We start from the raw sequence: 13,891 nt of genomic DNA, 5'->3' as shown, positions 1-13,891 counted from the left end.
GCAAATCTAAATTATTAAAATGTTTATATTAACATGAAATATCACTTTGACCAAGATTTAAAGACTATAATAACAGATGTACATTTTCTCTAACCTTTATCTTGGGTTATAAACTTTATTTGTAATCTTATTTTGGGGATAGAAATCTCTCTAGGTTATGTTCATAATTGTCATGCTGGGGTGGGGGGTGGTGACAACAACACTATCTTGTTAGTCAATTGGCAAAAGATCTGGGCAAGTGCTGGGCAAAGTTCCAACATCAACAAACCAAAGTCCATCTGCTGTAGTTTCTGGAAGTCAGGAGGTAAGGAGGAAGCTGAAGTTCTGGAATTCAGTAGATCAAACTATGCATTTGAAAGAGGAAACCAGGTAAGGGTCAAGGAGTAAATTAGAGGAAGGTAACCTCACTGAAAGGCAAAAATAACTTGTCCTGTGTCATCCTTGGTATTTTCTGCTGAAAATGAATACACTTTGGGCTTTAGTTTTCTTGGAATAAGTTAGTGTAACTCGATAGAGGAGAGCAATATATAAGTAGTACACTTGTAGTTTTAACATCAACAATTAAACAAAAATTCTTAGAGCAACTTGAAGATATTTCTCTGGCTCTTGCCTTCCTTTGATTTAACCACCACTGGAAAAATTCTACATGGAAGTTGCTGTAGTCACTGTTCCAAAGCCTCATTCGAGTAAGGTATTATTCTTGCCAACTAATTCTACTTACTATTCTTGATTTTTGTCTTTGAGTAAAACTCATCCTTGAAAGTCAGAATAAGCTGGCGTACAATTACAATCCCCCCAAGTTTTCTTTTTTTTTTTTAGTTTGGCTATCTGAGTTTTTTCATTAATAAACTTTCTTTTTAATCAATTCATTTTTAATAAGATGCCATGTATCAATATACAGACATGACAATGTCAATATAAATATTCTATGCATTTCAACTCTAATATCAATACATTAGTATTATAAGCTTCAACTGTGTCTTTTGTTTAACAATCTCAATCCCTTCTCTCAGTTTTATGCTTGAGAAAAAACTTCATATTAGTCAGCATAGCATATTGGTCAGTTACTGTTACTGACTTACCAGTAAACTTCAAAGAAATGGTTTGCTTTGATAGAATGTGCCCTCTATAAACTTTGTGATTAGAAAATTTACAGCATAATGTAACTGTAGTTGGTTATCTACCTCATTCCTGAGGTTGTTAAAAATTCAAATTTTCCTTCTTTGATTCCTTTTTGTTTCTTTGCATCCTATTTTATATTTATAAAGATCCTTTACATGCTATGCAAGTAAAAATCCTACAATTAGAGATAGAGGAAATTCTTATAACTAATTCAGTCCATCCAAACCCATGTTCTTCAGAAACCTAACATCCAGTGAGATGTTAACAGGTGTCACTCAATGGCACAGAAGGAATCTCATGAAACTCGTAATTTATAGTAATGCTACTTCACTTAACTAATATCAAAATTAGTTACCCACCAACAATTATGGCTTCTATTTTCTTTTCCCTTTTAATAGCCAACATAAATTTATCACTTTTTACCAGGTACCACACTAAGCACTTTGCGTATATTTTATCCTCATCATTATAATTTTGAGATCAAGGAAATGACGTTTAATAGGTTCAAATAATTTTCTCAAAATCTACAGCCAGTAAATGGAAATGCTGAAATAAAATTCAGATAGTTGGGCCGGGCGCAGTGGCTCACGCCTGTAATCCCAGCACGTTGAGAGGCCAAGGTGGGTGGATCACAAGGTCAGGAGATTGAGACCATCCCGGCTAACACCGTGAAACCCCATCTTGACTAAAAATACAAAAAATTAGCCAGGTGTTGTGCCATGCACCTGTAGTCCCAGCTACTCAGGAGGCTGAGGCAGGAGAATTGCTTGAACACAGGAGGCGGAGACTGCAGTGAGCTGAGATCATGCCACTGCACTCCAGTATGGGTGACAGAGCAAGATTCTGTCTAAAAAAAAAAAAAAAATTCAAATGGTCTAATTTTAGGGCTTGCCCCCTCTATGAATTTGAGGAAACCCTTGGTGATCACCTAATGCACAAATAAATAATTTTCCATCAGCAAGAAAATATAGACAACATTTGCCAATTCACTTTTGCATTGAATGTTTCTACTCAATGATTACAACTATATCATGGACCCTGTCTTACAACTTCAACATCTTTATTGCACAATAAACATAAGTCAATCTTTGATCATTTATTTCAGCAATTAATAAATTTATGAGTGCATTTGCTTTCTATTTTAATGTCAGTTTGAATTATTTCCACAGATTACCTGTGAGTATCTTTTCAATATGAGAATCTGACAAAAATAATTATAAAAAGTGTTCCATGTCAAATAAGTTTGAAAAATTTCTGTGTAGGTCAATTTCTCTAAACCCATGAAACTGACAAAGAGTACAGAAATGACTTCCCTCCCCACAGGCTTCTACTAGACCAGTGGCTGAGGAACCACACCTGCAAGGCTGTTGGTCCTGGGGCAAAGAAGGGAGAGAATGAAGGGTTCAATGACACCTTCCAGGTAGGATAAAATAAATGGACAAGGGAGCCAGCACTTAAGATGAGTGGTTCTTCTCTGGAAGGCAGCAGAGTGTAACACAGAAAAGCATTACACTGGAAAGCAAGACTTTAAAGCCGTCTCTGCAGCTGCTGGCTTTGGGGTCATGTACAAGTCCTTAAACTCTCTAAGCTTCAGTTTCACTAAACAGTGTTTGTTAAGTTATTAGCCCTGTCTGTGATTTCTATGACCGAGTACATTTTTTAAAGTCACTTTAACTTAGGTTGTTGCTGTTCAAAAACATGTATCAAGTCATAAATAATAGGACTGGAACGTTATTTAAAAGTACTGAAAAAAAATCTGGATTTGAGAATAAGTGAAATGGCCACCTGTCCAAAAAGACTACATATATTTATCTGCAGAAGATATAAACAAAGAGATATAAAGACAAGGCACTTTTGAGGATATTTTGGGTTCAACATAATATGAAAAAGATGCTCACCATAGAAACATTTACTGAGTTAGTATTGAAGTAATCTTTATAAATTTATATTAAATTATATTATCTTTATAAATTTATCTTTATAAATTTATATTAAATTATATTATCTTTATAAATTTATCTTTATAAATGTATTTATCTTTATAAATTTATCTTTATAAATTGATATTAAATCACAGCATAGATACAAAAGGCCCTACCTAAATTACTGGGAAAATTATATTTAATTTAAATTATTTTGTTATTTGAGTTTGTTTTATTTGTCAACATTTAAGACAGGAATACCAAGAAAAACTTCTAATATTTCATCATGAATGCTAAATTAACAGGGAGTCCTATTTATGAAATGGGATAATCTTACTTAAAAAAAAAGGATGGAAAATATTTGACTAATCACAGTCTGCTTTGGAGAATTACCTTTTGTCTAAATTATGAAATCATTTATCATATTAGAACATTGTGTATGATTCCTCTCTTTGAACTAGTTTCTGCAACATTATAGGCATTTCAGATGTTGCTGTAACTTGAATTTACTTTCAGGAGAACTCGTGCAGCTTTCCTGCAGAGTTTACAGATAGCTGTGTGAGATGTTTACACATATTCAATGAATACTTATTGTGAAGTAACTACTTTGTGTAAGAAGCCATCTACATACTTTAAATTCTAATTTTATAGTTGTTATATTGTAATTTCTGGATATTTTTCTGAGTCAATATAGAGCAGGCATTTACTCGATGAAGAATCGTAAAAATATCAAAGTAAAAACAGAGGTTCTCACTACATTTTTAAAGAAAGGTAAGAAATAGACATGGAAACAACTATTGATAACCATGTAGGAAGCAAATACAAGCTAACATATAAATATTGTATTTATCATATTTATTTCATAATTCATTTACAATTAAAGAAATGAAAATATGTTGCTAATAGCAGAGTCCTCAGGAAATGCATTCATCAAAAAATTCAACTGAGGCTGGTACAGTGGTTCATGCCTGTAATCCCAGCACTTTGGGAGGCAGAGGTGAGGGGATTGCTTGAGCTAAGGAGTTTGAGACCAGCCTGGGCAACAGGGTGAAACCCCATCTCTACTAAAAATACAAAAAATAAATAAAAATAAAAATAAAAAGCCAGACATAGTGACAGGCAGGCACCTGTCGTCTCAGCTACTTGGGAGGCTGAGGTAGAAAGACTGCTTGAGCTGTGGAGCGGAGTTTGCAGTGATCAACTGAGAACTGAGACTTGATTCAATTTGAATTATAGTTTGTTTATAAGAATAATTTATAAAATAAAGCTTTATGAGACTAACATAAGATATAATTCGAGAATTCAGTTCAGCTTCTTAGGTTTCCCTCACCTACTGGTTTTTGTGTTATTTCCCTCACCTACTGGTTTTGGTGTCAGTTTTGACTGGTTATTCCAGTTGGACTTCAGATAGCTATAGGCCAAGAATGATAACTACTGTATGTACTTATACAGAGTTCAAACTTATAACGGCTGATCTATGTATACCCTGAAAAATATACCAGATGCATAAGAACATCATAACCATTGGACATATTTTCTTATGCTAAAATATGCTAGTCTTCAACTAGTATCTTCTTTCACACTATACATATAAATTGTACTTCAGAGTGATATTGAGAAAAACCTAAAGTTATTAATTAATTTACATCTCTACTAACAACTGTTTCAACTATTTAATACCATTAATCCTAAACAGAAAAGTCATGAATATGAATGATAAAGTACTTTATTTTATGTTCAACATAACAACTTATAGAGTTCAGTATAACATGAATCATTGCAAAGTAAAATAATATTTACTGAGTTATTATTGAATTAACTTAGAGTAGTTAAAATAGTCACATTTCCATTAATTGTCCAGTATTTCAGCCATAGATATGTCTACCTATATTACTCATGGTTTGCGAGAGAAACAGAACTAATTATGAAGGCTGAAAAGGCCCAAGATCTGTAGCCAGCAAGCTAGAGACTCAGGAAAGATGGTGGTGTAGTTCCAGTCCAAGTCTGAGAGCATGAGAAGCAGGAGAGCTGATGGTGCAAGCTGCAGTCCCAGGACAGAAGACTGATGTCTCAGCTCAAGTAGTCAGGCAGGTAAAGTTCCCTCTTAATCAGCATTTTTGTTTTACTTGGATCTTCAATTGATTGGATGAGGCCCACCAATAATAGGGAGGGCAATCTGCTTTATTCAGTCTACTGATTTAAATGTTAATCTCATCCAGACGCCTTCATATACACACCCAAAATAATGTTTGACCAAAAGTCTTGGCACTCCATTGTCCAGTCAAGTTGACACATAAAATAAACCATTGCACCACACAAAAGGTGGATGCTAACCATCATGCTGGGCCCAGCAGATGCAGGTTTGGAGGGCATTGAGGTTATTCTGAGATTAAAACACTCAATTGACCAAATCTGTCCTAAAATTTTTTTCAAGAAATCACTTGTCCATATTATATAGAACAAGATGGAGTTCCCCCTGAGTATGTATGTTATTGAGCAGAAGAACACCGGTCCTATCCACAGTCACACACATATGACTCACCTCTCTGAGAAAACAAAGATAAAAACATTTGAAGACTTAGAACATTCAGTGACTCATGCCAATTCCACATCCCACATACACAATGCTTAATACATACAGGTCATTCTTAATCAGCATAAACTATAGGATCTTTGGATACATATTAGATAATTCAACCAGGAATTGACTCCAACCCAAAGACTTACTTGGGACATAACATTTGAGGGCAAAACTTAATGAGGCTATTAACTTATGCTTCTCTTCATTACTTTGTCTTACTGTATTAAGATAAAGTATTTCAAAAACAAAATCAGCCATTAAGCTCACTGCAGAAATTATTTAATTATTTAATTGGTTAATTTTTAAAACAGGGTCTTGCTGTGCTGTCCAGGCTGGAGTGCAGTGACATGATCGCGGCTCACTGCAGTCTTGACCTCCTAGGCCAAAACAATCCTCCTGCTTCAACCTCCCCAGTAGCTGGGACTATAGTCACATGCTACTATGTCAGGCTAATTTTTATTTATTTCTTTGTAGAGATGGGGGTCTCAGTTGAGTCTCAAACTCCTGGTCTCAAGTAATCCCCCTGCCTCTACCTCCTTGGGATTACAGGCATGAGCCACCATGCTTGGCCTATTTGGATAATTGTATACAATGATAACCACTTTAGTTAGAGTATGGGTTTAAAATGTACATTTAAATAACCTTCCTAAATCTTTTGCAAACCCATGGTTAAAATCATCATATTTTACCGCATATTCCTCATTTAAGGAACCATGACCAGAAAGCACTTAAGGAATTCATTCCAGAAAAAAAAAACTCAACAACTTTTGTGTCTTTAGATACGCTTTATTGTTTGCCACTGTAACATTCGATCTATTCCCATTATCTCTTTTTTCCCTCTTAGATATCTAAAAACTGAAATAATTAAATGCATAATTACAATAACATGATTTAAAAATTTCTGATAACATCAATTTTATTGCTTTGTTGGATAATGTTTCATATCTTAAAAAACCTTGTTATAAGCTTCACTGAATTTTGTGGATGAAATGAGGTTTAGTTATTTTACAGTTTACTACTTACTTTTAAATTAATTTTTATATATTGAATTAGTTTAAAACTCTAAAAATATTTCACAAAAGTATTAGCACTCTCTAAATAAGTCTCTCAAAGTGGAAAAAGGAGATTAACGTGGAATAACTCCACTCATCCAACAAATATTTATTTTCTATTAAATCTTGGGGCTTTTGCAAAATGCTAATCACATAAGAATAAACAAAGTAGATATTGCCTTTGTTATCATGTAGTTTATAATCTAGTGGAGAAAAACAAGTGTCACATAATCACAAAAATAAATATGAATTTCAATAAAACTTAACCCCAGCCCTAATCATATTGTCACGATCTTTCCCTGGATACTGGTTTTGAAGTTACCACATAAGGCAATAAGTACTCATACTTGAATTTTCCCTTGAAAATTCTAAGTTCCCACTGAAGCAGAAGATATGTAGTTTTAAGGATTCAACCCTATATAGTTGTGTAGAAATTGAAGCCAACTAAGGGATCTAAGTCTTCCATCTCATGATTACCAAAGAGCAAAACTATATGGAATGGTGGGCAGAATTTTTTCATAGCATTTATATTATTTTCTCTTTAAGTCTACCCTCACTCTCTCCCTTTCTTACCAGCTCCTATCACTGAATTTCCTAATTAAATGCACCTATGCTGAAAAGCCACTGTGAGAGGTTCCTCTATTTCTCCAGAATGGGTTCTTCTCTAACGCAAGGTCAATATTTGTATCATTAGCTACTAACATTATACCTGGAACCTAATTCATGTTTGTTTAGTGAACATGAAAAACTGTTGTCAAAGTCCCATTAACCTGGAAAAGAATGTTCCATTCCCATATAGCTTGGAATCCACACTACATTAAATGAAAACAATTGAAAAATCTCATACAAAGGCATTTTAAGTTGACTATGATGATTAAAATCGAGGGGTATAAACCAATATCCGATTGGAACCACAATATTATAGCTTATTTCAGCTCAATGATTATTTATTGATAGGCACTGTTCTAGATATTTATGTAAGAAAAAAAGAATTTTTCTAAAAAGCATATCCAAGTCCAGAAAGATTAAGAAAATGACATTAAACATGGATCAAATTCAGCTGCTTTTATTCAGTAAGCTATGGTAGTTAAATGCAAGAATATCAGGAAAAAAATGGGGGCTCTATCTACATCCTTGAGAAAGATGAGTTCAACAATGAGTTGTCCAGGGGTGGAAACAACAAAATGCTTAAGTGACATTCAAGACCAATTTGCTATAATTTTAAATTGAAATAATCTACAACTATTGAACATATATGAAGACAAGATAGCCCCTATCCTTGAGGGATTTAGATTCCAACATGTTAGACCCATATGTACATTCTGTTTAGCATGTTAAGTTTAGCATACAGACTGACACATACATTGTGGTGACAGTGGGGAATGTATGGGAGTTCAAATGAGCTGGAGGGAAATAATTTAACCACTAAACAGCAGGCTGTATAAAGAGAAGCCCTTGAATGTTACTAGAGCGGAGAAATGAGGCTGTAATTGAATGCAGGACCAGGTCATGGTAGTTTTATATGCCATGTAGTGCTTAACCCTGCGGCTATAGAGAGCATTCATATGGGTGCAGAATGGTCAGATTTACATTTCTCAGGCAGCAGTTGAAAGATTGGTTAGGAGACAGTAAGCCTGGATTGAGACTATCGACTACCAACAAGGTGCCTTTAGAGAGAGATGATAATAATTGACACTAGGGCAGTGGTAATAGAGGTAGACAAGGGGAGAACTGAAGATTTGTTGTTTGGCTTAAATAAATAGATAAATTATGTTTCTTTTAATGGAGAGGAGGAATTGCCTAAAAAGGTTGTATTTATTTAAATAAAATTATTCTTATTAGAAAGATTTAGTTACTACCATTATCAAGAAAGGTGAGAAGAATGGTAGAACTGAAGGTATGTCTCCGGTTGTATTTAAACTCATCTTAAGCAGCAAGACAGCGAATAATTCAAATTTCAAATGGGTTATTTTGCTCAAGCAATGTTCTTTTAAGAATGTGGACACTCTAATGTATTGAAGTGCATCTTAACAGATCATTAACTACTCAACAGAGAAACTAAGAGAAGGAAATGGGCATAGGTAAAGAAATTTAGAAGAATACTGGAAGTCACTTCCAATTTAAGATCAGAACATTTTCTTAAAATTTTTGATTCACAAAAATACTCCTTTAGGGCAGATACAACCTGTAAAAAGCAAAGAAACTTCATATATGGCCAATACAACTTTTATTTTTATGTGGGTGTTTATTGCAACAAACCAACATGCATTTATTGAGTACTTATTCTGCGTAAGGTACTATTGGAAACTGCTATCGTTATCTTTTTCTGAAAATAAGAGACATATATACAAAACTAGTAGCAGAAAAAAAGCAGCAGTACAACCTTTGGCAAGCTATTTAGCTTCCTTAGACTTCAGATTAATAATTCATATAATTAGATCATTACATTTTAAGAGTGTTTCCATCTCTGTGACTCTGTGACATAAATAGAGACACTCAATCACATTTCAGTGTATTAAAATACTTATTAACTCCTAAAAAGTTTAACATTTTAATTGCTTAACCCATATAGGAATAATTTCGCTTTCAAGATAAATGATTAAAAAATGATGAGACTGATTAACCTTAAAGCAAGTAACATAAAGTTTGACATTATATACTAGCCCTGATAGATGTTGTGTTCCATGAATGTAGACTCTTCCAACAATAAAGATGAGATTCCAGAAATGCTCCATCCATCATTGACATCATTATTAACAAAAATTACTCTAAGACATATTTTCATAATATTTCTGAAAATGGGAGAAATTCATTAATAATTTGGAATTGTCAATCTTTCTTTTCCTTCCTCTTAAGTGATACTAAATTAACGGTGAACATCAGAATTACTGAAACAATGAAATAATCAGGAGTACCTGGGATGGAATTTTAGGTGTTAAGTTGAGTGGATTAAGGAATACCTAGAGAACTGGTAAAAGCATTCTTTCTGGGTATGTCTGAGAAGATGTTTCTGGAGAGACTGGTTTTTGAATTAAGGGACCGAATAAGGAAGATCCGCCATCAATGTAAGTGGACATCATCCCAACAGCTGAGATCCTGTTTGGATGAGAGAACACAAAAGGCAAAGGAAGGGTAAATTTGCTCTCTCTGTGCTGTAGCTGGGACACCCTTTTTCTGCCATTGGGCACCAGAACTCCAGGTTCTCCAGCTTTTGGGCTCCAGGGAATTACAACAGGGCACCCCAGATTCTCAGGCCTTTAGTTTCAGACTGAAGCTACACCATCAGCTTCCCTGGTTCTGGAGCCTTTGGACTTGGACTGAGCCACACTACCAGTATCTTTGAGCCTCCAGCTTGTAGACATCCTACTGTGGGATTTAGACTCCATAATTTGCATGAGAGAATTCCCAGGATATATCCCCTCTTTTCTATCTATCAATCTATCTGTCAATCAATCAATCATCATCTAATCTGTCTATCCATCCAACCATCCATCATTCCCTCCCTCCTTCCCTCCGTCCATCCATCAATTCTACTGGTTCTTTTTGGAGAATCCCAACTAAAACACAACCATTTTTCAAGAATTGACACTGCTTCTAGGCACCGTTCTAAAGATCATCCAGTTATTAAATAAACTAACAGGACTTAGGAGCCAGGTTTTCTTCCTTTACTTGAATGAATGAAACACCTATCAAAGCTATAGTTGGGTGCTATACCTCACAAAGAGGTTATTGGTGGCTTTATTTTAAATTATAACAGGATAATATAAACAAATATTTCATGTGGCCAAATACAGTTCATTTCATGCCTTGTTTATAAAATAATGTCAGGAAAATACAATCACATTTTTTCTAGGAAAGATTTCCATCTGGACACCTGACTTCCAATTTCCCTGTGGTAAACTGAAAGATAAAAGAAAAACAGAAAAACCAATAGAGTAACAACTGGTGATAGCAAAAACCCAATGGAACAAGACCATCTTCAAGATAAAAGAGGAAAAAACTCTCTTTATCATGAAATAACTAGTTAGTATGCATGTTCTCACCTCACTCTGTCTCTCTCACTCCCATACTCTTTCTCTCTCTCATTTAGTAAATACGTTAGAAGAAAATGGCTTTTTCTTTTCAAAAAATTCAACTTTTATTTTAGATACAGAGAGTACATGTGCAGGTTTGTTACATGTGTATATTCCATAATGCTGAGGTTTGTGTATGGACCCATCACTCATGTAGTGAGCATAGTACCCAATGTGTGGTTTTTCAGCCCTTGCCCTCCTCTTTGTCTAACCTATCTAGTAGTCTAGCAGGGTCTATTGTTCCCATGGTTATCTCCATGTGTGCTCAACGTTTAGCTCTCAGTTAGAGAGAACATGCGGTATTTGCTTTTCCATTCTTGTGTTAATTTGCTTGGGATAATGGCCTTCAGTTGCATACATGTTGCTGCAAAGGACATGATTTTGTTCTTTTTATAGCAGCATAGTATTCCACAGTGTATATTTGTACTTTCTTTAACCAATCCACTGTTTATGGACATTCTGTGTTCTTAGGTTCCCTCTATGTCTTTCCTATTGTGAACAGCATGGGGATGAACTTATGAGTGCATGTGTCTTTTTGGTAGAATAATTTATTTTCCTTTGAGTGTATAACCAGCAATAGAATTGCTGGGTCAAAATGGTTGCTCTGTTTTAAGTTCTTTGAGAAATCTCCAAACTGCTTTCCACAGAGGCTGACCTAATTTACATTCCTACCAACAGTGTATAAGCATTTCCTTTTCTCTGCTGCCTCACTAGCCTAGCACCTGTGGTTTTTTGACTTTTTAATAATAGCCATTCTGACTGATGTGAAAGGGTGTCTCATAGGGTTTTTGATTTGCATTTCTCTGATGATGAGCAATGATGAGCATTTTTTCATATGTTCATTGGTTGAGTGTATGTCTTATTTTGAGAAGTATCTGTTCACATCCTTTGCTCATTTTTAATAGAGTTACTTGTTTTTGTTTGTTGAATTGTTTAAATTCCTTATAGATTTTAAATATTAGAACTTCATTGAATACATAGTTTGTGAATATTTTCTCCTATGCTCTAAGGTTGTCTGTTTACTCTGTTGATAGTTTCTTTCAATGTGCAGAAGGTCTTTAGTTTAATTAGGTCCAACTTGTCAATTTTTGTTTTTATTGCGATTGCTTTTGGGGACTTAGCCAGAAATTCTTATAAAGCCTGATGTCAGGAAGGGTATTTCCTAGGTTTTCTTGTAGGGTTTGTATAGTTTAAGGCCTTACATTTAAGTCGTTAATCCATTTTGAGTTAATTTTTGTATATGGTGAAAGGTAAAGGTCCTGTTTCATTCTTCTGCATATGGCTAGCCAGTTACCCCAGCACCATTTATTGAAATAGAGAGTCCTTTCCCCACTGCTTGTTTTTGTCAGCCTTGTGGATAATCACATGGTTGTAGGTATGCAGTATTATTTCTGAGTTTTCTATTATGTTGCATTGCTCTATTTGTCAACTGGTATTGTACCAGTATCATGCTGTTTTGGTTACTGTATCCATAGAGTGTAGTTTGAAGTCATGTAGTGTGATGCCTTCTGCTTTGTTCTTTTCGTGTGAGATCGCTTTGGCTGTCCGGACACTTTTTTGTTCCATGTGAATTTTAGAATAGTTTGTTTTCTAATTCTATGAAAAATTCCATTCGTAGTCTGATAGGAATAGCATTGCATCTTTAAAATGCTTTGGGCAGTATGGCCAGCTTAACATTATTGATTCTTCCAATCCATGAGCATGGAATCTTTTCCCAATTATTTGTGTCATCTCTGATTTCTTTCAGCAGTGTTTTGTAGTTATCCTTGTAGAAGTCGTTCACCACCTTGGTTAGCTGTATTCTTAGGTATTTCATTTTCTTTACAGCTATTGTAAGTGGCATTGTGTGCTTGATTTGACTCTCTGCCTGGATGCTATTGGTGTATAGAAATGCTACTGATTTTTGTACATTGACTTTCTATCCTGAACTTTACTAAAGTCACTTACCAGTTCTAGGAGTCTTTTGGAAGAGTCTTAGGGTTTTCTAGGTAGAAAATCTTATCGTCAGGGAAGAAAGACAGTTTGACTTATTTTCCTATTTGAATGCCTGTTATTTCTTTCTGTTCACTAATTGCTCTGACTAGGACTTCCAATAATATGCTGAATAGGAGTGGTGAGAGTGGGCATCCTTGTCTTGTTCCAGTTTTCAAGAAGAATAGCTTTTTAACCAAGTATAATTTAAAATAATTTTGGTGACACAGTGGGAAAGCTGTAAAAGGTTGACTGTTATTTTCTATGAATGCTGAGAGATTATCAAATCTGATCCTGATATACAGTTCAAGGAAAAGTTCAGCTGAGCTACTGGCCATTTGCAAACACTATAGTGACCTAGGATTTCACCTCTAAATACAGAAAGCCAAGTATTAGAGTGGGCTAGAGAGACAGACCAATCTTAAAACAGTTCCTAAGGTCTAAGACATTACAGTAAAAATTCCACTAAAAAGTGTTATATCCATAATAAATTCTTATATCATGCACACTCAAGTTTGAGATCCACTAAGTAAAGGAAAGGTGACAGGAAAGAAGAAAGTACACATATCTAGGCATTCTGCCTTACAGACACAGTCATGCTGGGCTAGCTACTCAGGAGACTGAGGAGTTTGAGGCTGTAATGCACTATGATGGTTCTTGTGAATAGCTGTGCCTTCTAGCCTGGGCAATGTAGCAATAGCAAGACCTCAATTCAAAAATAAATAAATAAATGAAATATAAAGATAAAGCAATGTGTCACTTCATGATGGGGCTATGTTCTAAGAAACGCCTTCTTAGGTGATTTCATCATTTTGTGAACATCATAGAGTGTAGTTACACAAATCTAGATGGAACAGCCCACTACACACCGAGGCTCTGTGACATGTGCTATCGTTCTTATGTTAGAAACCTGTAAAGCATGTGACTAAATAGCATAGGCAATTGTTATACATGGGAAGCTTTGTGTATCCAAACATATCTGAACGTAGAAAAGACACAATAAAAATAAAGTACAGTATTATAATCTTATGGTACCACAATCATATATGCGGCATATCTTTGATGGAAATATCACTGTGCAGTACCTTACTGCAATTATAATATCTCTGGTCATAATTGGCAGAGTAGGTGGAAACAGCATCAATGAACCACATAACTCCAGAAGGCGTC

At 34.9% G+C, this 13,891-nt stretch overlaps 1 protein-coding gene across 27 annotated transcripts in view, besides 1 other annotated feature; it reads right to left on the bottom strand.

Annotated features, from left to right (window-relative positions):
• NAV3 (neuron navigator 3) overlaps positions 1 to 13,891 on the bottom strand; it is a 641,149-nt gene that overhangs the window by 318,605 nt on the left and 308,653 nt on the right. The gene's annotated exons all lie outside the window — the stretch shown is intronic.
• Positions 4,782 to 5,981: an enhancer, noted in NCBI's record as "P300/CBP strongly-dependent group 1 enhancer chr12:78282205-78283404 (GRCh37/hg19 assembly coordinates)". NCBI's record gives its function as "activates an origin of replication core promoter dependent on BRD2, BRD4, P300/CBP, MED14 and CDK7 cofactors, with strong dependence on P300/CBP, by STARR-seq in HCT116 cells {active_cell/tissue: HCT116}" and the evidence as "EXISTENCE:reporter gene assay evidence [ECO:0000049][PMID:35650434]".

This window comes from Homo sapiens, chromosome 12 (genome assembly GCF_000001405.40).
Source record: "Homo sapiens chromosome 12, GRCh38.p14 Primary Assembly".
Taxonomy (NCBI): domain Eukaryota; kingdom Metazoa; phylum Chordata; class Mammalia; order Primates; family Hominidae; genus Homo; species Homo sapiens.
Note: the sequence above shows the minus strand (reverse complement) of the source record. Positions and strands in the feature narration are given on the sequence as shown.